The sequence below is a fragment of the Homo sapiens genome, chromosome 8 (assembly GCF_000001405.40).
Source record: "Homo sapiens chromosome 8, GRCh38.p14 Primary Assembly".
NCBI classification, from domain to species: Eukaryota; Metazoa; Chordata; class Mammalia; order Primates; family Hominidae; genus Homo; species Homo sapiens.
Window position 1 is genome coordinate 100157730 of NC_000008.11, and position 27606 is coordinate 100185335.

General features: G+C 39.4%; 1 protein-coding gene and 1 pseudogene across 11 annotated transcripts in view, besides 2 other annotated features; one reads left to right on the forward strand and one right to left on the reverse strand.

Annotated features, from left to right (window-relative positions):
- Window positions 182-251: a silencer, noted in NCBI's record as "silent region_19409". NCBI's record gives its function as "represses an Ori minimal core promoter by ATAC-STARR-seq in GM12878 lymphoblastoid cells {active_cell/tissue: GM12878}" and the evidence as "EXISTENCE:reporter gene assay evidence [ECO:0000049][PMID:35858748]".
- The window catches only part of SPAG1 (sperm associated antigen 1), an 83867-nt gene continuing 56569 nt past the window's right edge, over window positions 309-27606 (forward strand). For 7 of the 11 annotated variants that reach the window (NM_172218.3, XM_011517241.3, XM_011517240.3 and 4 more), the window contains exons 1-7: window positions 309-389; window positions 4550-4691; window positions 8085-8244; window positions 20087-20212; window positions 25646-25707; window positions 26227-26333; window positions 26899-27004. In NM_172218.3, coding sequence (NP_757367.1) covers window positions 4552-4691; window positions 8085-8244; window positions 20087-20212; window positions 25646-25707; window positions 26227-26333; window positions 26899-27004 — 701 coding nt within the window. In that variant the 5' untranslated portion in view covers window positions 309-389; window positions 4550-4551. Of the gene's footprint in view, window positions 472-857; window positions 1311-4549; window positions 4692-8084; window positions 8245-20086; window positions 20213-25645; window positions 25708-26226; window positions 26334-26898; window positions 27005-27606 lie in introns of those variants that run through there. The other 4 variants (XM_047422128.1, NM_001374321.1, XM_011517243.3 and 1 more) reach the window with 4 other exon arrangements.
- Window positions 322-761: a silencer, noted in NCBI's record as "silent region_19410". NCBI's record gives its function as "represses an Ori minimal core promoter by ATAC-STARR-seq in GM12878 lymphoblastoid cells {active_cell/tissue: GM12878}" and the evidence as "EXISTENCE:reporter gene assay evidence [ECO:0000049][PMID:35858748]".
- UFM1P3 (UFM1 pseudogene 3) lies at window positions 6601-7814 on the reverse strand (annotated as a pseudogene).

The following is a 27606-nucleotide window of genomic DNA, read 5'->3' on the forward strand; positions in this document are numbered from 1 at the left end:
TCCAACTCCTGGCCTCAAGCCATCCTCCCGCCTCGGCCTCCCAAAGTGCTAGGATTACAGGCGTGAGCTCCCGCGCCCGGCTGATGCCAGCGTTTTAACTCTACAACAAACTGAAACTCAAACGAGAGGAAGTGGACCTCTCACACCAACTCTTATGCCCAATTGGTCCTCTGCCAGTGAAGGCGGGGAAGGTGAACCTGTGGCCGTCGGCAGATCTGCAGATCTGCCGGACTGCGGGTCGGGGCGTGGCAGGGGCCTAGTCCCCGCCCCGGCCGTCAGCCTGTCGCCTCTGGCTCGGGCCGGGCGACGAGACCCTCCCTCAGCACCTGCAGTGCAGCCAGAGCCGGTGCGGCGGCCGCGACTTCCCCGACGCGGGGCGCTGAGAAGCAGTGAGTGCCTGTGTGTACCTGCCGGCCGGGAATATAGGACTTGTCGCATCTCAGCCCTTCCCTCCCGGAGCGGGGGCGAGAGGTCGAGGCGGGGAGGCGAAGGGGCGGTGGGCCGCGAGGGAGAAGGAGCGATGGGGTGGACGTCCTTCAAGGCCGGGGAACACGCGGGGCTTTCCAGGCCGCGGGGGACGGTGGCGGGTGTCGGGGCGCGGTGGCAACGCTGGAGTTCCCGGGTCCACCGGCGCGGTCAGCCCTGGTGACCCAAGCCAGGGGCTGGGGAGCAATCTGAGACCATTGCGGCTGGGCTGTGGGGCTCCCCAGTCCCGGCAGGTCCTGGCGCCGCTGTACATAGAAACCGTTGCCACGGCGGGAGGATGCCGTTTCTTTTCGGTCTCCGACTGCAGGGGGCGGTCGGCCCTGTGGATGCAGGAAAGAGGGTGCCTCGGTGGGAGAGACCCAGCTTTTCGCGTTAGTAGGCCCGAGCAGTTTGAACTGGAGGTATTACTAAGCTGGCTACGAAATATGGGAGGTGGATGTGGATCAGGATGATGGAGAAATTAAATCCAGCTAGGATCGAAGGTTTTCCCAATTAGAAACAAAGACTGCAAACAGAGGTGGAAGAGTTCTAAAGTATTGTATAACTTGTTTTTTGGAACTTGAGATGGACATTCAGTAGTCTTGAGAAGGTGTATCCTACAGAAAGAAAGAAAAAAAGAGAATCCTTTTTTTTCAAAAAGGATTCTCAGAGAGACTTGGTCCAAAGGTAGTGAGTTCTCTCACTTGATTGTTCAGTTATAGATCCACCTCCTCGTTGTACTCTTTCTCCCCTTCTCACTACTGCACTTGATTAGTCAAAAAAAAAAAAAAAAGATTCTCAGAGAAATGTTAAAATGATGTTCAGAATGAAATTCATTTGATTAGGTAAGAGATGGCTCTATCATTTCATGTGTTTTTAATCACATTTTATTGAAATCATAAAATCTCAGGGGTTGCAAAATACCTTCAATTCAAGGTAATCTATTTTAATCCCATTAGATGCTTAGATCTCTCCCACCAAAGATCCCTTGCTCTTTGGAAAAATCCTTCTAAGGCAACCCATTCTATTCTGGGCAGCATCAATAATTTACGAGTTCTTCATCTTGCTTTCCTGTAACTTCTACCCTTGAGGTTATCCTTGTCCTGGGAGCCATTCATCAATAGGCCCTGAAGGTATGGTGTGAAAGCCACATCTAATTTCTCAGCTAGATCTCATCCGGAAGCCTAAGAACTGTCATCTATATCATATACCTAAGTCAAAGCCGGCAGGAATTTGGAGAAGTGGACAGTGTCATCCTTTTCTGCAGAGGTCTGATATATGACCAGACTCCCAGAGGGCTGAAAGAAATACTTCTATGAATTAGACCCATTGCTACTTCTTGTTTTTAAAATCATTGCCCAAGTACAGTGGGTTTTCTTTAACCTTTGACAGTGACCCACAATAAGAAATATAGTTTACTTTGTAACCTCGTGCATTTATATACACACATAATTTCCATTTATATAGACATGAAGTAAAAGTTTGTATAAAGCAATATTTACTTTAATGTTATATGTCAGGTAGTCTATTTTTTATTCTATTCCATCTCATTATAAAACAATGTTAATTGCAACTCACTAAATTTATTTATGGGTTGCTACCTGCAGTTTGAAAATCACTGGTACAGTGGTTAAGTATGTGGGCTCTGTAGTTAGCCTATTGAGACTCGTATCCTTAGTTCACATGTCGACTTGCTCATTTGTAAAATAGGAGTAATTATTAATATCCTTTATGAGAGAGGTTTTGAAGATTAGGTGAGATAAGCTATGGCACATGGTAATTTAGCTCCATAAATGTTAACTGTTATTACTAATGTCACTTAAAACCTACCCGGTACAGTAATTGAGGGATTAAATGAAGTAATATATGTAAAGTACTTAGAATGGTGCCTAGCACACATTAAGAACTATATATTTGTTGCTATTATTATTATCATTAGCATTAGCAGCAGTATCTTTAAAGTGATGTTCTCCAAGACCTCCTTATTCCCAATTCAATTAAATGCAGCGAATGTTTCTGAAGGGGTATAGGCACTACTTATTATGTTAGTCCTGGAGCTGTGAGGATAAATAAAGTAAGTTCTTTCACAAACTAGAAGGGAAGACAAATAAACATAATTCAAATTTGTGCTAAGAGAGAGGTATGTACAGGGCACGGCACGGTGGCTCACGCCTGTGATCCCAGCACTTTGGGAGGCCAAGGCAGGCAGATCACTTGAGGTCCGTAGTTCAAGACCAGCCTGGCCAACATGGTGAAACCCCATCTCTACTAAAAATACAAAAATTAGTTGGGCGTGGTGGCCCACACCTGTAATCCCAGCTACTCAAGAGGCTGAAGCAGGAGAATCGCTTGAACCCAGGAGGAGGAGGTGGCAGTAAGCCAAGATTGTGTCACTGCACTCCAGCCTGGGTGACAGAGCAAGACTCCAACTCAAAAAAAAAAAAAAAAAGGAGAGGTATGTACAGAGTGCCCTTAGAACACAGTTCATTGTGTAGTAGGGAGAAGAAGTAGGCAGGGAGTGGGAAAAGGATTGTGTTAAGGCAAGTTACAGAAAGGATGTTATTATTTATGTTTATGGTGAATCACAAAGAATGATTGGGATGTTAACAGCTAAACTAGCAGAAGGTCATTCAAAATTAACATTAAAAAATCTTAAAAAGCAATTTGGGCACCACAACCTTCTCTGTCATTGTATTCCAGCTTTGCTTAAGTGAAGATTAAGTGAGGTAATCTGTGTATGGCACACAGTAATTTAACTCCATAAATGTCAATTGTTGTTATCAGGGACAGAGAATTCAAAATTAGTTGACTTCCTCCATGGAAAAAAACCTCTACCTTCTTTTTCTACAGAAGTACCTAGAAGGGCTGGGCGTGATGGCTCACACCTGTAATCCCAGCACTTTGGAAGGCCAAAGTGGGAGGATCACTTGAGTCCAGGAGTTCGAGACCAGCCTGGGGAAAATGGCAAAACCCCATCTCTACAAAAAAATCTAAGAGAAATTAGCTGGGAGTGGTGGCACGTGCCTGTAGTCCCAGCTACTCAGGAGTCTGAGGTGGGAGGATCACCGAGTCCAGAAGGTCAGGCTGCAGTGACCCACGATTGCACCACTGCATTTCAGCCTGGGTGACAGAGTGACACCATCTCAAAAACAAAAACAAACAAAACACTCCACCTCCTTTTATACAGAAGTACCTATGTGGCAGGCCAGGTCTCACTAACACAGACCTCCATAACAATGATTTCGGTACTGACTGAGTGGTTAAGTTAAATATTAAAAGCCAGTGCCCTTATACAAAGGCTGGGATGTAACAAAAGCCCACCAAGAGTTTTGCCTAGGCCTTTCCTGGGCCTTAAAGCATGACAAAATAGAAAAGGAATTTTTAATGACCCACTTAGGATTAAACAAGTTTTACTGTGGGTCTGAAGAAACTCCCCAGACCTCCACAAACAAGTTTATGGAGGGTCTGAAGGAACTCCCCAAACCTCTGTGATTTAGCAGGAGACAAGATAAGGGTAATTGCCCCAGCACCTGGACCCATTTAAATTAAGTAAATTTACTGAGACCCCAGAGGAAGGTCTTCAGCACTCAGACTTTAGATATAGATTAAAAGAAGTTAATCACTTATGTCTTTAGATGAATGCACGCTTACACATGGACATATGGCTTAGAAGGTATATAAGCTCTGGAAAACTTTGTAATTTTGAGTTGGTCTGGTGATAATTTCCAGGCCTTCTCCCTGTAGCCAGTTGCAGAAGTAAATAACGTCTTCCTCCTCGGTTCATCTGCATCTCGTTATTGGGCCACAAAACTAGCAGGCCAACCCTCAGTTTGGTCCAGGAACACCTAGGTGGGACAGGCACAATGGCTCATGCCCATAATCCCAGCACTCTGGGAGGCTGAAGCAGGAGGATTGCTTGAGGCCAGAAGTTAGAGACCAGCCTGGGCAACATAGGGAGACTCTGTCTCTACAAAAAATTTTTAAAAATTCAAAAAAATACAAAGAAGTACCTACATGGTTACCACTATCCAAATTGAGTATTATTTATACATTAGATTAATAACTTTTAAATATTGTATTTCAGCTATGACCACCAAAGATTATCCATCATTGTGGGGCTTTGGAACAACAAAAACATTCAAAATTCCCATTGAACATCTAGATTTCAAATACATTGAAAAATGTTCAGATGTTAAACATCTGGAAAAAATTCTTTGCGTGCTCAGGTAAGCATTTTAAAATCATTACATGTTTTAGTATGACAGTTTTAATTATCTTGTTGTTACCTTCTAAAGGTAAAAGCTACATTAGAAATATCTGTTTTTGCCCATGCATGGTAGGTCCCAAAATAGTGGTTTTGATCCTATGGTTAGTTTGGAGAGTTCCACCTAGGTCTACTGCCAGCATGAGACGCAGGCTAATTAATATCCAGGAGGGTATTTTTCTTGCCTTCTCTACATTTTCTAGGAGAAGGTAAAGTAGCTGTGAAAGCAGCCATTAGGATGGGCTGTGATGGCTCACGCCTGCAACCCCAGCACTTTGGGAGGCTGAAGCAGGTGGATCATTTGAGCTCAGGAGTTCAAGACCAGCCTGAGCAACAGGGTGAAATCCTATCTCTACAAAAAATACGAAAATTACCTTGGCCTGTAGTCCCAGCTACTCAGAAGGCTGAGGTGGGAGGATTGCTTGGGCCTTGGAGGCTATAGTGATCCCTGGTTGTGCCACTGCACTCCAGCCTGGGTGACAGAGTCTCAAAAAATAAAAAAATAAAAAATAATAATAAAAAAAATAAAAAAAGCTATTAGGAGGTAAGCTTATCTCACCAGCCTAGGCTGGTGGCACTTTCCCACTTCATATCACCTGACAACAAGGGAGGGTGACCCACCGCACACTGATCACATGGAGGGTGGTGGGGAGGCCTGACGGTAATACCAGAAGGCAGGGAATTAGGACCTTCTCAGGATAGAGCTCCATTCTAGTGACTGTCCAACTGAATATACATCAAATGTGGTTGTTAAAAATGCACATTTGAGGGCCCTATTCCCAGCGATTCTGCTTCAAAAAATCTGGGGTAGGGCCAGGGAACATGTGTTTTTAACAATGGAGCTGGCTGATTGATATGTAGGTGTTCAAGGAACCCACTTGAAGAAACACTGTCCTGAGTACCACCAACCTGTGACACCTCTTTTGGATTTCTTTTCTTTCTTTCTTTCTTTTTTTTTTTTTTTAAGACTGGATCTCACTATGTTGTCCAGACTGATGTCAAACTCCTGGACTTGAGCAATCCTCCTGCTTTGGCCTCCCAAAGTGCTGGGGCCTCTTTGGGCCTCTTGAGCTATTTTCATTTGGATACCAGAGTTCTATTGCAGAAGACACTTGTGGAGCATGAACTGCTTTCCAGGACATCTAGAATTCCTATTACCCTGTGGTGGTTCTTTATTTCCTCTATCCCTATTCCTTATCACTGGGTTCTTCCCTTTTTCTCTTTCATCACCTTTAGCTTCCTTTCTTCCCTGTTGGTCCACAGCCAGATGCTGATGTGATAACATCATCATTTTTAAAATGGAAAGTGAAAAATCAATAATATCAATTGTTTTCCCTTTTTTAGCAGAATATTATCATGTATACTTGGTCAAGGACGGATAAATAAAAATGAAAAGTTTATTGGATGAAACAGTTGGAAAGCTACAGTTATAATAATGTTGGTTCCAAGAAATTTTATGAATAGCCTAATTCAGTGATAATATATTGAACTTGGAATTGTTTTTTAAAATTTAATTTGGAAATGAAATTTATTTATATTTTTCTAGAAATGTAAGAGTGAACAGACCTAAGAAAGAATGGGAAAGGACTGATTTTCCTTAAAATAAAAGGAACAGATGTCTCCATTTAACTCTCTAAGGAAGGAATTCTGTTCCTTGAGTGGTTGGATTTCAGGGTGTTTTGTTTAAGCTGTTTATCTGCCATTTTCTTCCTACCTCTTTGAAATAAAAAAATTTATGAACAGAAACTCCTTGTTGAAAAGGAAGTCCAAATTCTCTTTCTGCTAGTCTCTAATATTGAATTTATGAGCTTAATATCATGTACAAAATGAACATATGAACATATATATGTTGAAGAGAAAATATTGTTTTTGTTAGATTAAAATTTTGTTTCTTTGGTTGATATTAAACTGAAATTTATATGATACATGAGATTTGAAACTTAGAAAAAGTAAATGATAAAATTTTTTTTTATTTTTATTTTTTGAGATGCAGTCTCACTCTGTCACCCAGGCTGGAGTGCAGTGGTGCGATCTCGGTTCACTGCAACCTCTGCCTCCCAGGTTCAAGTGATTCTCCTGCCTCAGCCTCCTGCATAGCTGGGATTACAGGTGCCTGCCACCACGCCCGGCTAATTTTTGTACTTTTAGTAGAGAGTCCATTTCGCCATGTTGGCCAGGCTGTTCTCGAACACCTGACCTCAAGTGATCCACCTGCCTTGGCCTCCCAAAGTGCTGGGAATACAGGCCTGAGCCACAGTGCCCAACCTGATAAAAATTTAATATAGTTAACTATTCATTGATATGTTTATTGACTTCATCATAAGCTATATATTTAATTAAAAATCAAACTATGAGTCTGCAAACCAGATGCTATCAAGCAAATTACCATCCATGATCCATAATTCTTTTTATATTTTTAACTCAGACAAATATGTAAGATTCAGTAAGTTTTAATGTTTCAAATGTTTTCCAAAAAATTATCAGAAGCTCCCAGTTATAAAATAGTTGGAGAATCCATTCACCCCAAATGAACTACCTGTTTGTGTGTGAGGTAGCAATCTTCTGTGACACTATTACCCTTAATTCATATGAATTCCCTCTTCACATGAAGAGTACAGACAACAAACAGGGACAGATGAGTCTCATTATTCATTGACTCTTGGTGTTTTCATAGTGTGTTAAATGCCTGATTTCAATTTTACAGCAACAAAAAATACCAATATTTATTCTGAAAGGTAATTGTATGTTCCAAGCAGCCGATATTAACAACTTCCATCACGACTCTAGGAATAATTCGCAGTTCTGAACCATGTTTTAGAAAAACATTTCCAGCAGGTCTGTGCAGGATTTTTTCCTATTCCATCATTGGTAATAATTGCACTTCTTGCAGCAGGAACTTGAAATTCTTCTGTTGCAAACTGTAAGACTGCTGTGAAAGGTGTACTTTCAGGAACAGAGTACTTTGTACGCCAGCCGCGGGTCAGACCTCAGAGTGATCTTAAAGGAAACCTTTGACATGGTGGCGCCGGGAGGAACCCAGAACCCACGCCAACTCCGCGGAGCAACCCCACTTCCTCCACGGTGCCGGGGACCACACCGCCCCACTCACCCTTATCCAGTTTTTAAAGTGTGTGATGAAAATTGGTTACTTTGGAGTTCCTTTTTTTCTTCTTTTAATCATTCCATAGATTAACGGGTAAAAATGGAGACTATGCGGGTTAAGGAAAGAGACTGGGAAGCAGCCCTTGAGATCTCCACAGAACCTCAGGGTTCCATGGAACCCAGCCTGCAAACCGCTGGTCTAGATGATCCTAAATAAGGTGCTAACTCTAAAACTTATTTATTTCTTTTTAAGATCTGGTGAGGAAGGATATTATCCTGAACTTACAGAATTTTGTGAAAAGCATCTTCAAGCCTTGGCCCCTGAAAGCAGAGCTTTGAGGAAAGATAAACCAGCAGCAACAGCAGCCAGTTTTACAGCTGAAGAATGGGAAAAAATTGATGGTGATATAAAGGTATATAGTAATACCAATTTTCCATAGATATTGTTGAGACATTCTATATATGTTTACTTCACTTATCGGAAATCCTAGGCTTCTTGTTTGTCCGTAAAGGGCTTTTAGTGTCAATTAGGCAGGATTGGTTGCTTTTTACACCCAGGGGAACATTGCGAATTCGCGTGTGTGTGCGTCCGTACATGTGTATATTTAAATTGATTAAATAATATTCTGTCCTATTAAAAAACCTATAATTTAATCATCTTCAATAAATAGTGCTGTATAAACATGTTTATTTGTAATTTTTTTTCTTTTTTTTTTGAGATGGAGTCTTGCTTTGTTGCCCAGGCTGGAGTGCAGTGGCACGATCTTGGCTCACTGCAACCTCTGCCTCCCAGGTTCAAGTGATTCTCCTGCCTCAGCCTCCCGAGCAGCTGGGATTACAGGTGCATGCCACCATGCCTGGCTAATTTTTGTATTTTTAGTAGAGATGGGGTTTCACCATATTGGCCAGACTTCTCGAACTCCTGACCTCAGGTGATCCACCCACCTCGGCCTCCCAAAGTGCTGGGATTACAGGTGTGAGCCACCATGCCTGGCCTATTTGTAATTTTTTTGCACCTCCCTGATTATTTCCTCAGGATAAATTATTATAATTCAAATTGCTTGGTCAGATGTGGTTGCTCACACCACCTGTAATCCCAGCACTTTGGGAGGCTGAGGCAGAAGGATCACTTCAGGCCAGGAGTTTGAGACCAGCCTGGGCAACATAGGTAGAGCTGTCTCTACAAAAATATAAAAATTAGCTGGACGTGGTGGCATGTGTCTGTAATCCCAGCCATTCAGGAGGCTGAGACAGGAGGATCGCTTTATCCTGAGAGACCGAGGCTGCCGTGAGCTGTGATGGTGTCATTGCACTCCGGCCTGGGTGACAGAGTGAGACCCTGTCTAAAAACAAAAAGCAAGAGAAAGAGAAAAAGAATTTAAATTGTTTGATCAAAGGATTTGAATATTTTTAAGCCTTTTCAAACATATGTTCTCAGAAAAGTTGTACCTTCATACACCACCCCCAACAGTGTATAAGAATGCCCAAGCCAGGTGCAGTGGTGTGTGCCTATAGTCCCAGTTACTCAGGGAGGATTGCTTGAACCCAAGAGTTCAAGGCCAGCCTAGACAATACAGAGAGACCTGGTTTCTTTATTAAAAAAAACAAAAACAAACAAACAAAATGCCCATTTTTAGGTACTCTTTGCTGGATACTGTAATCATTTTTAGTCAATTAAATAGTTGAAAAAATGGTAGTACCATAGTCCCTTCTTATCTTTGGGGCATACTTTCCAAGACCCCCAGTAGATGCCTAAAACTGCAAATAGTACTGAAGCCTAAATATACCATGCTTTTTCCTCTATATGCATATCTATGATAAAGTTTAACTTATAAATTAGGCACACTAAGAGATTAACAATAAAAAACAGAACAATTATAACAGCATACTGTTGTAAGAGTTATGTGAATATGAGCTCTCTTTCTCTCAAAATATCTTACTGTATTGTACTCACCTATTTTTGGATGGCAGTTGACTGTGGGTAACTGAAACCACAGAAAGCAAAATTACAGATAAGGGGAGGACTATTGTAGTATATTTTTTGATTGCTAGAAAAGTTGAGTTATTTTTCATGAATCTGTCACTTAAATTTCTTCTTAAATATTTACAGATTTCTTTTAATCAGCTTTATTGAGATAAAATTTACATTCCATATAAATTACCAACTTTATAGTGTACATTTCACTGAGTTTTGACAAACGTATATGATACAGAACATTTCCATCACCACTAAAAGTTTTCTCTTGCCCATTTGTGGTCAGTGTAGACCCCACTGCCTGGCCTTTGGCAACCACTGAACTGTCAGCATAGTTTTGCCTTTTCTAGACTTGCATATAAATGTAATCATACAGTATGTTGTCATTCCTGTGTGTCTTCTTTCACTTATATAATGCTTTTGAGATTCATCTGTGTTGTTGCATGTGTCCATAGTTTGCTCCTCTGAGTTGCTAAGTAGTATGAAATTGTATGAATATCCCACAGTTTGTTTACCCACTTACCTTTGATAAGACCCGCAGTGGATGCCTAAAACCTAGATAATACTGAGCCCTAAATATACTATGTTTTGACTGCCAAAATGTTTTCCAAAGTGGCTGTACCATTGTGCAATCCTGACAGCAATATATAAAATTTCCACCTGCTTTACATCCTGGTCAGCACATAGTATTGTCCGTTTTGTTAGTTTTAGCCATCCTACCAGGTATCTCATTGTGGTTTTAATTTGCGTATCTCTAGTGACTAATGATATTGAGTGTCTTTTCATGTAACTTCTATTGTGAGGTGTCTTTACATCCTTTGCCCGTTAAAAAAAAATTGCCTTGTGTTCTTATTGAGTTGCCAAATAATTGTTCTTTATCAGATACGTTGCTTTTTTGCCCAGGCTGGAGTGCAGTGGCACCATCACAGCTCGCTGCAGCCTTGACCTCCCAGACTCAAGCGATGCTCCCACTTCAGCCTTCAGAGTAGCTGGGACCACAGGTGTGTACCACCACACCTGGCTATTTTTTTTTTTTTAATTGTTTGTAGAGACAGGGCTTCACTATGTTGTCCAGGCTAGTCTTGAACTCCTGGGCTGCTTTGGCCCCTCAAAGTACTGGGATTACAGCATGAGCCACCATGCCCAGCCATCTTTTTTTTTTTGTTGTTGAGACAGAGCTTTGCTCTTGTTGCCCAGGCTGGAGTGCAATGACACAGTCTCAGCTCATTGCAACCTCCAACTCCCAGGTTCAAGCAGTTCTCCTGCCTCAGCCTTCTGAGTAGCTGGGATTACAGGCATGCGCCACCACGCCCAGCTAATGTCGTATTTTTAGTAGAGACAAGGTTTCTCCATGTTGGTCAGGCTGGTCTCGAACTCCCAACCTCATGTGATCTGCCCATCTCGGCCTCCCAAAGTGCGGGGATTACAGGTGTGAGCCACCACGCCCGGCCTCTTTTCATTTTTTTTTAACAGTATCTTTGGAAGAGTGAAAGTTTTAACTTTTGATGAAATCTTTTTTTTATTGTTTGGGCTTTTGTGTTTTATCTAAGAAATCTTTGTTTAATCCAGGACATCTAATTTTTCTCCTAGGAAGTTTATAGTTTTAATTCTTATATCTAGGTCTATAATCAGTTTTAATTTTTGTATTGGTGTTTGAACAAAAAGTGTTCAAGCACCATTTAATAAAATATTATCTTTAAATTTCTTGGTACCATTGTCAAAAATCAGTTGACCAAAGCTGGGTGTGGTGGCGCATGCCTACAGTCCCAGTTTCTCTGGAGGCTGAGACAAGGGGATCACTTGAGCCCAGGAGTTTTAGGCTATCATGCACTATTACCAAGCCTGTGAATAGCTGCTTAACTCTAGGCTGGACAACACAGCAAGACCTCATCTCTAAAAAATCTTTTTTAAAAAATCAACTGGGCTGAGCACAGTGGCTCACGCCTATAATCCAGCACTTTGGGAGGCTGAGGCGGGTGGATCACTTGAGGTCGGGAGTTCAAGACCAGACTGGCCAACGTGGCAAAACCCCATCTCTACTAAATACCAAAAATTAGCTAAGCATGGTTGCGTGTGCCTATAGTCCCAGCTACTCAGGAGGCTGAGGCACAAGAATTGCTTGAACCTAGGAGGCAGAGGTTGCAGTTAGCTGAGATGGTGTCACTGAACTCCAGTCTGGATGACAGAGCAAGACTGTCTCAAAAAAAAAGAATCAGTTGATCTTATGTGTGGGTCTATTTCTGACTCTTTCAATTCTGTTTCATTATTTTATTTTTTATATTTATTTATTTATTTTGTACTCCTTGAGGAGCAAGGCTACCCCCTAGGCAGCCTGCCCACAGTAGCCTGTTTCATTATTTTAAATGTCCATCTTTACTCCATTACCTTCTTGTCTTGATTACAATAGTTTTACAGTAACTCTTGAAATCTTACTGTAATAAGAGGCTGGAAAAAAAAAAGAGACTGGAGGTAGTACAAGTCTTCCACCTTTGTTCTTTTTAAAAGTTGTTTTGGCTATTCTAGGTCTTTTGCTTATTACAAAATAACTTGCTTGTGTTTGAATTGGGATTGTGTTGAATTTATGGATCAATTTTGGAAGAACTGACATCTTAATATTGAGGTTTCGGATCCATGAACATTGTATATTTCTTCATTCATTTAAGTCTTCAATTTTTTTTACAGCAATGTCTTATAGTTTTCAGTATGTAGTTCTTGCATATTTTTGCTAAACTTATTCCTAAGCATTATATGTAGCTCATGCTATTATAAATGTTAATATTTTTATAATTTCAATTTTTTGCTCATCCTGTCATCTCAGTTATGAAATTTTGTTTTTTTATTATAGTGAAATACATATTACATAAAATTTATTATCTTAACCAGTTTTGAGTGTACAGTTCAGTAGTGTTAAGCATATTCACATGGTTGTGCAACCACTCTTCAGAACTTTTTCATCCTGCAAAACAAATGCTATACTCATTAAACAACAACTCCCCATTTTCCCCACTCCCCTGTCCCCTAGCAACCACCATTCTATTGCTGTTCCTATAAGTTTGACTACTTTAGATACCTAATTTTAATTTCAATTTTTAATTATACAAGTTTGTATTTATCTAATTGCTTTTTCATATTGACTTCATATCCTGCAATTTTGTTAAATTCATGGATTAGTTCTAGGAATGTTTTTGTAGATTCATTGGATTTTCTACCTGCAGGATCATGCCATCTGTGAAAAATAAGAGATGTGCTTCTTTTCCAGTCTGCCATTTATTTATTTATTTATTTATTTATTTATTTATTTATTTATTTATTTATTTTTTACTTGCTTTATTGAACTGGCTAGAACCTCCAGTTCAGCAGAAGTGGTAAGAGCAGATCCTCGCCTATTTCCCAGTCTTACAGGGAAATCGTTCTGACTTTCACTGTGAAATATAACGTTAGCTTTAAATTTTGTGTAGATGCCCTTTATCAAGTTGAAGTTTTCTTCTGTTCCTTGTTTGATGAGAATTTTTATCATGAATGGGTTTTGAATTTTGTGAAATGCTTTTTCTGCATTTATTGAGATGAACAGATGATTTTCTTTGTAGTCTGTTAATAAGGTAAATTATGTAGATTGTTTTCAAATATTATACCAACCTTACATTCCAGGATAAACTCTACTTGGTCATGATATATCTTTTACAAATATATTCCTGGATTTGATTTGCTAAAATTTTGCGAAGGATTTTTGTGTCTATGATCATGAGAGATATTGGTCAATAGTTTTATTTTCCTGTAATATCACTGTCTGGTTTTGGTAGCAGGGTAATGCTGGCCTCATAAGAGGAGTTGGGAAGTATTGTCTCCTCTTCTGTTTTCTAAAAAAGTTGGTATATGATTGGTATTATTTCTTTCTTAAATGTTTTCAATTCATTGTTGACACTGTATAGGCCTGGAGTTTTCTTTGTAGGAAAGATTTTAACTGTGAATTCAATTTTTCAAATAGATACAAGGCTGTTTAGGTTATCTTTAGAGCTCTCTTTCTGTACGGCTTCCTCCTTTCTGATATTTTTTTCCCCCGAATCCTCACAGTCTTGGCCTCCCTAACGTCCAAACTTTGTCTGCTGAATTCAGCAAGACCACAGGGTTCTGTCTGGGTACTTTTCCTGTGCTGCAGCCTGGAAACTGCAGTGAGTTGGAGCAAATGTAGGGCTTACCTCATTTGTTCACCCTTCTTTCAAGAATCACTGTCCTGTGCCACCTGTTGTCTAGTGTCTGACCACCATCACTCCATATATCTTACCCAGTTTTCTAGAATTTAGGTAAGAGAGTAAATCTAGTTCCTGACTCCGTCAGGCCAGAAGAAATCCCTTTATTGATTTTTCTTTTTTTTTTTCTGAGACGGAGTCTCGCTCTATCGCCCGGGCTAGAGCGCAGTAGCACAATCTTGGCTCACTGCAATCTCTGCCTCTCCAGTTCAAGTGATTCTCCCGCCTCAGCCTCCCGAGAAGCTGGGATTACAGGCACGTGCCACCGCGCCCAGCTAATTTTTGCATTTTTTCTATTAATGTGTTTCTCATTGTTTTGTAAGAGTTCTGTACTGTATATTGTAAATTTTCCTCTAGCTTGTTGTTTACCTTTTAAATGTTGTGTGTGGTGTTTTTTATTTTTTTAAATTTTTATGCTATCCTCTTAATTTTATTCTTTAAGAACTTTTCATTGGCTTTTATAGTTAGGAAGGTTTTCTCTCCACCAGATACATATTTACTTATATTTTCTCAGAGTTTCTTCAGTTTCATTTTGCTTAAGAAATTATTTTTGGGCTGGGCACGAGTGGCTCATGCCTGTAATCCCAGCACTTTGGGAGGCCGAGGCAGGCGGATCACCTGAGGTCAGGAGTTCGAGACCACCCTGGCCAACATGGTGAAACCCTGTCTCTACTAAAAATACAAACAATCAGCCAGGTGTGGTGGTGCATGCCTGTAATCCCAGCTACTTAGGAGGCTGAGGCATGAGAATCACTTGAACCCAGGAGGTGGAGGTTGTAGTGAGCAAAGATGGCACCACTGTACTCCAGCCTGGGAGACAGAGCTAGACTCTGCCTAAAAAAAAGAAATATATGTGTGTGTGTGTGTGTGTGTGTGTGTGTGTGTATGTGTGTGTGTATGTATGTGTATATATATGTGTGTATACACATATATACCTCGCAGATGCTAGAGAACCAGTTTTTTGGTTTACTTTATTTTATTTATATTTTTCTGGGGTTAAAAACAATTTTAAAACATCTAAAAACAATGTTGAGGTATATGTATTCTGTAACTTAGAATGCTGCTTTTTAAACTTTCAGCCTTCTCATTTTATTGGCTTGAGCTCAAAAATATGGTAATTAATCTACCAGTCAAAAATAGCACTTTATGTCCAGACTTTTTGGCTTTGTTTTCAGGATGCAGACAGCTTGATTTTAGTTGAAGAGCCTAGGTTTTTCCCCATTGTGTGTCTTTGCTCTTCTTGACCACTTCTTTTTTTTTTTTTTTTTTTTTTTTTTTGAGATGGGGTCTTGCTCTGTCACCCAGGCTGGAGTGCAGTGGCACAATCATAGCTCACTGCAGCCTTGAACTCTTGGGCTCAAGTGATCCTCCTGATTCTCCCAAGTAGCTGGGATTACAGGCATTCACCACCACACTCAGCTAATTTTTTTGTAGAGACAGGGGTCTTGCTGTATTGTCCAGGCTGGTCTAGAACTCTTGTTGGCCACTTTGCAAGTTAGTCTCCTTCTCACTTGCCTTTCTTTCATACTTTGTTTGCCACTTGTCCCCTTTTCTCCATTCTTTCTCGCTCCCTTCCTCCTCTATAAGTCTTCCTCTTATCTTTTACCATTCTTACCTTATTGCTTTTCTTTTTCTTCTCATATTTCTCCTCTTTGCCCCTTTCCACCCTCCCTGCCTTCTATACAGATAGAACAGATAATATAGTTGTTGGGTTTTTTTGCTGTATCCCAGTGCTTTTAAGAGTGTCTAACAAATATTAGAACCCTCAATACATCTTTTCTGAATAATAAGTAATACAGTTTCACAGATAATAAATCTCTTACTCAATTTTTTTTCTGGCACCTGTGACAATTTAATAAATGTTAAGAACCTACTATATGTCAGACACTGAATCACAAAGATGAAATTAAGACATAGGCCCTGCCCTCAAGGAATTTACAGTATAAGAAGAGAGACTAACAATAGATGATTTTTAAATCTTTATGCTAATGTATTATGGAGGAGAAGCACTTTTAGCCCAACTAGGAAGTTCTGGGAAATCTTGCTGAAAAGAATGATGAATAAGGTATTGCAAGATAAATAAAAGTAGGAAGGGCAACAACAATGTATATATACTTAACAAGACTGAACTGTAGACTTAAAAATGGTTAAGATGGCCAATTTTATTATGTTATACATATTTACCACAATTTAAAATAAAAGGTAGGAAGTATGTTCCAGATAGTGAGGATGGCATGGATCACATTGTCTAAAAAATTGACTCATAGGAAACTATGATAAATATAGCTGACTCTTGAACAACACAAGGAGTTAGGGGCGCTGGCTCCCTACACAGTCAAAAATCTACTTACAACTTTTGACTCCCCCAAAACTTAACTATTGATAGTCTATCGTTGACTGAAAGCCTTACCAATAACATGAACAGTTGATTGACATATATTTTGTATGTTATATAGATTATATACTGTATTCTTACAATAAAGTAAGCTAGAGAAAAGAAAATGTTATTAGGAAAATCATAAGGAAGAGAATATATATTTACAATGTATTAAGTGGAAGTGGATCATCATAAAGGTCTTTATCCTCGTCATCATCACATTAAATAGGTTGAGGAGGAGGAGGAAGCATAGGAGGTGTTGGTTTTGCTGTCTCAAGGGTAGCAGAGATGGAAGAGGTGGAGGAGATGAAAGGAGAGGCAGGTGCACTTGGTGTAACTTTATAGAAATCAATCATAATTTCTGTCTGACTTTTGCTTTTTCATTTCCCTAAAAATGTTACTATATGGTACCAATCCTTCTTCCACCGTTTGCTTTAGTTTTAGTCCCCGTATCACAGAGGGTAGATGTTGTGAAAGAAGTCAAAAACAGTCTTGTGTAATCGGAGCCCTTCTGCCAGATTGTCTAATGTTAGTTTATTTTCTGGCATTGCTTCTTCTATGTCTTCTCATTGTCTGGCACTGGTTCAGAAGCACTTACCTTCATGAAGTCATCTTCTGTTAATTACTGTGGTATGGTGTTAGCACTTGAATTTCTCCAACTTCCATATCTTGAAACACTTCACTCCCAACTTTTTTTGGCATATTCATAATCTCTTTTATGATTTCCTTGATTTACTCTATTGTAAATCCTATGAAATCCCGGACAACATCTGGACAGTTTTTTTCTAGCAGGGATTTATTATTTCATGGCTTTTTTTTTTTTTTTTCTTAGAGATGGGATCTTGCCATGTTGCCAGGGCTGGAACGTAATGGCTATTCACAGGCAGGGTCATAGCACACAGTACAGCCTATAACTCTTGGGCTCAAGCGATCCTCCTGCCTCAGCCTCCTGAGTAAGTGGGGCTACAGGTGCATGTGCCACCACTCCTGGCTTAATGGCTTTTTCTATAATAATGATGGCATCTTCAATGGTGTAGTCCTTCTAGACGTTCATGATGTTCTATCAGGGTTCTCTTCTGTAGTGTTGACAATCCTTTCCATAGAGAAGGGCGTGCAGTGAAGTTCTTTTTTTTTTTTTTTTTTGAGATAGAGTCTTGGTCTGTCGCCCAGCCTGGAGTGCAGTGGCTCGATCTTGGCTCACTGCAAGCTCTGCCTCCCAAGTTCACACCATTCTCCTGCCTCAGCCTCCCGAGTAGCTGGGACTACAGGCGCCCACCACCATGCCTGACTAATTTTTTTTGTATTTTTAGTAGAGATGGGGTTTCACCATGTTAGCCAGGATGGTCTCAATCTCCTGACCTCGTGATCCGTCTGCCTCAGCTTCCAAAGTTCTGGGATTACAGGCATAAGCCACCGCACCCAGCTAGCACGCAGTAAAGTTCTTAAAGATCTTTGTGACCCCCTGATCTAGAGGTTGAATTAGAGACGTTGTGTTTAGGGGTAAGTAGACCACTTGACCCCTTCGGTCTTGAACTCATGGGATTCTGGATGGCCTGGGACATTGTCCAACATCAGAAGAACTTTAAAAGGCAGTCCCTTAGTGGCAAGGTACATCCTGACTTCAGGAACAAAGCATTGATGGAACCAATACAGAAAAAGTGTTCTTGAACCAATACAGAAAAAGGCCTTCTTGTTGTACAGCCAAAAGACTGGCAGCTGATATCTATCTTTTCCCCTCAAGGCTTGAGGGTTAACAGCTTTACAAATAAGGTCAGTCCTGATCATAAACCCAACTGAGTTTGCACAAAATAGTTGAGTTTCCCTATCCCTTCCTGCCTTAAATCCTGGTGCTTGCTTCTGTTCCTTACTAATAAATATCCTTTGTGGCATTTTTTTCCCCAAGAATACAGCACTTTTGTCTGCATTAAAAACCTGCTCAGACAGATATTCTTTCTCTTTATTGATTTTCTCAATGGCGCCTGGAAACTTGTCTGCTGCCTTTTGGTTGGGAGAAGGTGCTTTTCCTGTTCTCTTGACATTTTAAAAGCCAAACCTTTTTCTAAAATTCAAACCATCCTTTGCTGGCGTTCAATTCTTCAGCTTTATAGGTCCATCATCTTCCTTTTGCTTTAAGTTGTCATATAATGACTTTGCTTTTTCTGGAATCATATTAGAGTCTATAGGAATGTCTTTCTTTTTTTTTTTCTTTCTTTCTTTTTTTTTTGAGACTGAGTCTTGCTCTGTCGCCCAGGCTGGGGTGCAGTGGTGCAATCTCGGCTCGCTACAACCTCCGCCTCCTGGGTTCAAGTAATTCTCCTGCCTCAGCCTCCCCAGTAGCTGGGATTACAGGTGCCCACCACCACACCTGGCTAATTTTGTATTTTTAGTAGAGACGGGGTTTCACCATGTTGGCCAGGCTGGTCTGGAACTCCTGACCTCAAGTGATCTGCCCGCTTCGGCCTCCCGAAGTGCTGGGATTACAGGCGTGAGCCACCACGCCCAGCCAGGAATGTCTTTATTACATCAATTTTGCACCCACATGAAGGCTGCATTTTCAATAAAAGATAAAAAGGCATTTCACAAGAAGTGCAAAGTCTTTGCACCTGATGGTGTAGCCGCAGTGATGCAATGATGGCCTCATAAATTTCCCTCTCCTCTCCTCTCCTCTCCTCTCCTCTCCTCTTCTCTCTCCTCCCTCTCCCCTTCCCCATACCCCTCCCTCTCCCTCTCCTCCTCCCCCTCCCTCTCTCCTTTTCCCTCCTCCTTTCCTCTCCCTCTCCTCTCCTTCTTTTTTTCGTTTCTTTCTTTTTTTTCAATGGTCCTTACTCTGGATTCATTTATTTTGAAATGGTGGGCAACTGCAATGGTAGCTTATGCCAGATCTTAATCTCTGGCACATATCAAGCAATTCAGCTTTTTCTTGTAATATCATGTGTTCTCTCTGCTTCTTGGGAGCACTTCCAGCATCACTAGTGACACTTTATATGGGTCCCATGGTGTTATTTAAGGTTTACAGTATTACACTAAACATCATAAAAATATGTGAGAACTGTGAGAGATCACTTTTTATGGCAAGATGCAGTTTACTAGAGACAAACTGCTCCTGCAGAGATGACTAGTGTCACAAGGCATTTTAAGCAGATACTTGTAACTCTTAAGCTTACCACAATAGCAACAGGAGGTGGCTGTGAAATTATTACGTATTATAGTGTCTCCTACAGTCAGTTTTATGCAGCTATGATTTAATACTGCATCTTCATGTCTTTTTTTTTTTACATTTCTCTTTACTGTGAATGGTGCCATTTATGGTCTGTAAGTGTTTGTGTGGGTAAGTTTTGATAAATTTTAACTTTTTATAACTTGTGTATACTTTATGGTAGTAAATGATAAAACAGACTAGTATCTACATATATTTTATGCATTCATGAAATACCTAACTTTATCTTAATTTTTTTGATATTTCTAATTCATCTGTGAGTTTTTTCAAATCGTCACAAATCTCCAAAAATTTTTCCAATATTTTTACTGAAAAAAATCCACATATAAGTGGACCAATGCAGTTCAAACTTATATTGTTCAAGGGTCAACTATAGTTCTTTCTTATGCTTGGTTATAATTATTTCAAACTATATATTTACCCTTTTCTCTATTCTCAGAGTTGGGTATCAGAAATTAAAAAAGAAGAAGATAAAATGCACTTTCATGAAACTGAGACATTTCCAGCAATGAAAGATAATTTGCCTCCAGTTCGTGGTTCAAACAGCTGTCTTCATGTAGGCAAGGTAGGCTTCTTTGATATCTTTGTGGGTGGTAGCAGGAGAGGATTGCTGCTGTTTATTAAGGGGCAATCTCAGTTTAATTGGAGCAGCCTATGTGTGATGTCCTCTAGGAGAATTGGGGAGTTTGTTCAGCTGGCTGGGAACTATCGGCTGGGAACTATCACGTTCTTTACTGTCTCATTACTTGGAAATCAAAATGAAACAGTTTTTTCCTTTGAAGTCCTGCATCTTGGGCTTATTTACTGCCTTTAGTCTTTTTTTTCTTTTTTTATACACCCTGTCTCTTCCGTCCAGTTTTGATGAGAGCAAAAGGTCTGATTCAGTGTGTGAAAATTTCAGGGAACAATTGTATATATCTAGTAGGGCTACAGAGGATATATCATGTTACATAATTTAATTATGGATTTAAAACAGTAAACAGATACTTTCAGTACTTATAAATGTCATTCCTCTGTTTAGTGCATGTTTTTTCCTCTTATTCCCATTTCTCTGTCGTTGGTCCCTATTTTGTCACATAGACCTCTCCTTTTTAATCTGTGGGCTCCACAGAGAAGGGGCCTCTTGAAGTTCCAGGCCCATTCTATTTAACTTTAGGTTGAAACTGGGGTTCCTGGCATCCATCTGACCTTGTAATTTCTCAGATGACTCCCCAAGCCTTTTCATTCTAGGTTAACTCATTCTTGTTATTCTCGTCTTTTCTTTGAATCAATTTTATTTTAAAAACATCCATGGCTCTTCATCACTCTGCTCTCTGATAATTTACCTTCCTGGATCTTTTTACTCCTCATTAGGAATTATGCAGGTAATGGAGGTGTACAGTAATCTGGTGAGGATGCCACTATCTGCAATCAGTGAAATTGTATTTATTGAATAGTTGGCCAGGCACGGTGGCTCACGCCTGTAATCCCAGCACTTTGGGAGGCTGAGGTGGATGGATTGAGGCCAGGAGTTCGAGACCAGCCTGGCCAACATGGTGAAACCCCATCTCTACTAAAAATACAAAAACATTAGCCAGGCATAGTGGCATGTGCCTGTAATCTCAGCTTCCTGGGAGGCTGAGGCACGAGAATTGCTTGAACCCAGGAGATGGAGGTTGCAGCGAGCTGAGATTGTCTCCTCTGTCTCAAAAAAAAAAAAAAAACCACAAAAACAAACAAAAAAACTCTGGGCATGGTGGCTCACACCTGTAATCCCAGCACCTTGGAAAGCCAAGGAGGGTGGATCACTTGAGGTCAGGAGTTCAAGACCAGCCGGGCCAACATGGTGAAACCCCATCTGTACTAAAAATACAAAAATTAGCCAGCCATGGTGGTGGGCCCCTGTAATCCCAGCTATTTGGAAGGCTGAGGCAGGAGAATCGCTTGAACCTGGGAGGCAGAGGTTGCAGTGAGCTGAGATCACACCACTGTACTCCAGCCTGGGGGAAAGAGGGAGAATCCATCTCAAAAAATAATAATAACAATAATAATAGTCCCGGTGTACTAAGACTGTGCCTTGAAAATATAACAATGAACAAGCATTGCTGAAGGAGCAATGGGGTGGATGGACTAGTGGTACAGTAGTTCTTAAAGTATGGTCTAGGAAGCCCTTGAAGTCCCAGAGATTCTTCCAGGGGGTCCAGAAAGTTAGTGCTATTTTGAAAATAATACTAATGCTTTGTCCTTGTCACTGTGTTGGTATTTGCCCTGAGGATAAAGCTGCTATTGCTTTAACATGAAGCAAGGCAGGCACCACGTTGTATATACAGTAAAAACAAATTCCAATTTTACTTAAAAATACCTTTGATAAAATAATAGAATATTTACTTTGTTAGATCTTGAACTTCCAGGACATGTCATTTTAGTATTTTGTGACAAAGTGAGAAGTATGCAGAAAGCACTTCCCTGCATAGTCAAATATGATGGTTATGATATGATGCATAGCCACGTCTTCCTGGAATGCTGTTTTTACTTGAAATAATGGTTGACAAACTGTCATTATTCAGACTTAGGATTTTGGCAAAAATTTTGTTGGAAGTGAATGAAGGAGGCCTGTCGCTTTAAGAAAAACAACTCACAGTATTTGTTGCTAGTAAGAAAATCTGACCTTTCAAGTGCAAATTAGGTCCAGGCACAGGCGGGCAGTGGCTCATGCCTGTAATTCCAGCACTTTGGGAGGCCAAGGCGGGTGGATCACTTGAGCCCAGGAGTTCGAGGCCTGGGCAACATAGCGAGACCCCATCTCTACAAAACATTTTTTTTTTTATTAGTGTGGTGTGGTGGCACATGCCTATAGTTCTAGTTCTATCTATTCAGGAGACTGAGGTAAGAGGATTGCTTGAGCCCTAGTGGTCAAGGCTGCAGTGAGCCATGATGACATCACTATACTCCAGTCTGGGCAACAGAGCAAGACCCTGTCTCTAAAAACAAAGTGCAAATTAGGGCTTGAGGTATTAAATATTTAGTATAATATAACAATATCTAATAATTTAGATATTATGTGTTTCTCAAATATCTGCTTGTGACAGAAAATAGCCCTTAAGGGGGATACTTGTCAAAGGACAAAATTACAACAAATTTCAAGATCTAATTGGCTTCTATTAACAATTCATGAATCAGGATGGCATCTCCTCTAAAAATTTAGAAAATATGCTCCAATGGCCATGGCAGAACAGCTGGTTTTTATAAGGTAGCTTGAGCAGGGATAAGGCATACAAAAAATAGACTATTTAATAACAGGTTACTTTCCTTGTAAGGGTTAAAGCAGAAATTTGGCTATTATCTCTGTCTCTTGATTTCTCCAGTCAGATAAGCAACTTAGTTTTGGTTTGGTGATATGGAACTTGAGCACTAGTGACTGTATTTAAGTCTGTTGGGGCCTAGTGCAGGAGCTTAGTCCAAATCATTGACCTTCTATAAATTTTATTTAACATACTTGAAAGTCTTTTTTGATGATCTCCATGCAGATATTAACAAATTGTGATTTTTAAAATTGCATAATGAAATCTGTGAATATTTGGAAAATCTGTATAACTCCAATGACCAATAATTTTGAGGAGTGCGAGAGTGTCATGATACTGAAAAGTTTGAGCCCCACTAATGTAGCATATAATGGATTATGACAGTAAATATGCAGTGTTATGAGAATACATAGAAGGCACATGTCCCAGCCTTTCAAAGTCAGGGAGCATTGCCTTCTTAAAATATCCAAATATAATATTACACATTAGAATTTATCATGTATACTGAGTCCATGTCTTGAGACTTTTATTGCTCCACATTCTTTTTTTATTTATTGAAAATCTTCTTCTTCTTTATTCAGTCATAATTGATAAAACTTGCATGTATTTATGGTGTGCAATGTGACATTTTGATATATCTACACATTTTGAAATGCTTACCACAGTCAAGCCAATTCATGTCCATTTCTTGATCCCTAAAGGGGGATATTTTTTGTCACAGGTAGGTATTTGAGAGCCACATATGAATATTAAATACCCCTGATTTTGAATCAATGACCTTTTGAAACTAAGTGATACCACTTGTATTAGTTTCCTAGGGCTGCTGTAACACCACAGGAAGTGGTTGGCATAAAACAACAGAAATGTATTCTTTCACAGTTCTAGGGGCTAGAAGTACACAATCAAGGTATTGGCAGGGCCTTTCTTCCTCCAAAACCTGTAAGGGAAGATCCTTCCTTGGCTCTTCCAGCTTTTGGAAGCCCCGGCCTTCCTTGGTTTGTAGCGGCACAACTCTAAGCTCTGTTTTCATTTCCACACCACCAGCTTCCTTCTATTGGAACTTCTTCTCCTCTTTGTATAAGGACACAGTCATACTGGATTAGGGCCCACCCTAATGACTTCATCTTCATTTGATGACATTGCAAAGACCCTATTTCCAAATAAGGTCTCATTCACAGGTACCGGGGTTAGGACTTCATCATATTGTTTTTGGGAGACACAATTCAACCCATAACATCATCTTAGCATTGAGAACATTGTCTTTATGAGTAGGAAATCGAGTTCAAGCATCAAATGATACTTTTTGAGCCTGTAAGGACTGCATAGTACTCATTTATGTAGTTTATATAGTTCTTAGTATTGCTATTAGCAAACCTGAGCCTAATGAGAATGAAGATATGTAATAGTTTAAAAACAAATCAGTACCTACTTTATTATTATAAATTCTGCTATACTTACCTTTCTTCAGACTATATAGATAAATATTTTAAAGTTAATATTCCTTAGTACTTATCTAGCAAAAAATTGTACCCTCTCTGGGAGACTGATTATTTGTGAGCATTATGGCTATTGTTTGCCTTTCTCTCATTCTGTTCTGGTGCAGAACCTGCCCTCTGTCTTTAGCAGTGGGAATGTGGCTACTTTGGGCCACTGTTAGTGCTTGGTTAGGATGGGCCCATGACCCAAGCTAGCCAATCAGTCCTTCCTTGGAATTTCTCTAACTGAAGATGGAGAGAAGAGTCACTCTCCTTTTCCTCTGGTGGAGAGAGCTGTGAGGTTATAATTCCAGAATGCTTGTGGTGATGTTTCCTGCCACATGGAGAAAGCAAGTACCCATCAGGGAAAGTGAAATCAGTAGGTAGAGAGGAGCAGAACCTGGGAGGGGCAGGGAGAGCTGGAGAAAGGGCATAGGAATCCCCTCATCCAGCAGCACCCTTGCCCTTCCATCAGTTTAGTTATATAAGCTGATAATTTCTTCTTTTTTAATGTAATTATTCCAAATCAGATTACTATCATTGCAAACTTCTGACTAATATAGCAATTATTCTTGTTTCTCCAATGCCTAGGTTTGAAAAGAATGAATCAGAATTTAGTACTTTTTTATTATAAGAAAATCAGTAATAATCATATTCACACATAAGTTTTAAAATTTTATATGTATATACTTAAAAACCTATAGATTGTCCCCAGAATTAACTATAAATTTAAAATTCTTTCTTTTACATGCTGTATATTATTATGTTAATAACTGTAATACTGAAGTTATTATAACTTCCAGGGTACCTATTTTTCTTATCCATTCCATTTGTATATCTTTATTTTATTTTTATTTTTTTGAGACAGTTTCTCTTTGTCACCCAGGCTGGAGTGTAGTTGCTCGATCTCTGCTCACTGCAACCTCCACCTCCCAGGTTCAAGCAATTCTCATGCTTCAACCTCCAAGTACCTGGGATTAAAGGTGTGCGCCACCATGCCCAGCTAATTTTTGTATTTTTAGTAGAGACGGGGTTTCACCATGTTGGCCAGGCGGGTCTGGAACTCCTGGCCTCAAGTGAGCTGTCCACCTCAGCCTCCCAAAGTGCTGGGATTACAGGCGTGAGTCCCCGCACCTGGCTTCCATTTGTATATCTTAACCCAATACTTTCCATTGCATTTACAGTAAAACCTGATAATCTTATATTAAATATGTCTCATAAAATATGATTTTATTCTTTTAGGAAAAATATTCTAAAAGACCAACTAAAAAGAAAACTCCAAGGGATTACGCGGAATGGGATAAGTATGTTTTACATGTCTTTATATAAAATGTATCACTAAAAAAGTTATCTACCACAAAATACTGCAATAATTTCTTAAATAATTATTATAAACCTTAACATGTCAAGAATACCAAATTACTTCAATAGAGTACTGAGAATATCTGGCCTCAGCACTTTTGATGTTTTTTTCAGTACATAAAAAACTTCTACATCCTATTTTTTTATAAAGTCAGCCAAAAAAACTAATGTATTTTTTATACCCATCCAAACTAAAAAGGAACAAAAATTTAAAATTGAGATAAGTTAGTCAAAATTTTAATTTCAAAGTTCTGACCAGTTTAGATTTGATTAACGTTTAAGTTCTCACTAAATTGTATGTTTTCTTAAGAAGGAACTCAGATGACTTGAACTATTAACTTACTACATATTTTTGAATATGTATCCAAAGGCATACTTGTACAAATATAAGAATATCAATGATAAATTTATTTTCTTGCCTGTATTGTACTTTTTTGGTTTTTATTGTTCTTTCATTTAAGATTTGACGTGGAGAAGGAATGTTTAAAAATTGATGAAGATTACAAAGAAAAGACGGTAATAGACAAGTCACACTTGTCTAAAATTGAGACAAGAATAGATACAGCAGGTAATTGGAGAAAAAATAATAATTTAGTAGTCTTTAAAGTTTTTCAATTATAATAAAAAGTGTCAATCTAGAAGACATTGTCTTTGAGTACTGCACAGATTACCATGAAAAGTTTATGGATTTTCTCTTACAGTTGACCACTCAACAAATTCACTTCTCTCTTTTACCCACTTAATTTTTAAATGTAGTAAGGCTTTAAAATATAAACCTATTTTTCTTACTGTAATTCATTTGTTTTTAATTCCTTTTTTCCAATCCTCTTTTTCCTCCAAATTCCTAAAATTGTTTTCTTTTTGCTTCAAAACAAAAAGATGGGGCAGTTTATTGGACTAGCACCTATAAAGTGAAACGAAATCAATCATTAAAAAAATTCTGAATCCTCAAAACTTGTGAATGATTTAAAAAGAAAACATCCCTAAGCTTGGGGAACCTTTTATTTTCTTTTGTTTATTTTATGATCTTTCTGCTTTCTTCTGCTTCTGTTAAAATAAGCATTCTTAGATTTAAACTTGAAAAATTCTGTTAAATTATACGTTTACATATAGCAGATAACATTTATTTCTAGGTCTAACTGAGAAAGAAAAGGATTTTCTTGCCACTCGTGAAAAGGAGAAAGGAAATGAAGCTTTCAACTCAGGAGATTATGAAGAAGCAGTGATGTATTATACCAGGTGAGCAGATGTTTGTTGGGGTTTAAACTTGCCTTTTAAAAAATGATAATGTTTTAATTGTTGAAACAATATAAATAAGCGAAAGTCTATGTCAGAATCTCTCAATGTATTGTACTTGTGATTTATCATATATTCACTTGTGTTTCTCCTATTTTTTCAATAATTTTTCTCAAACCTCTAAGCTCCCACTCCACTCCTACTTTTGACAGAAGACTTAACTTCCTATCTTGCAGAGAAAATAGAAGGCATCTGACAGGAATTCAACAGAAGGCCCATATGATATAGAAGTGAATAACTTGGGTTCCATTGTAGACTGCCTGGATTTACTTCTAGTACTTTGGTGCTCCTTCCTACCACAGGGCCTTTGCACATGCTGGGTGCACCATCAAAAATGCTTTTCCCATGGCTGGTCTGAGTACAGTGGTGTTTACAACTAATTGATCACAACCAGTTACAGATTTCCTTGTTCCTTCTCCACTCCCACTGTTTCACTTGACTAGCCTTTAAAAGAGAAAAGGAAATTAAGAAAAAAAATGCTCTTCCCTCGTTCCATTATCTAGTTAATTCTGATTTATCCTTCAGATCTTAGTCTTCACCTTACT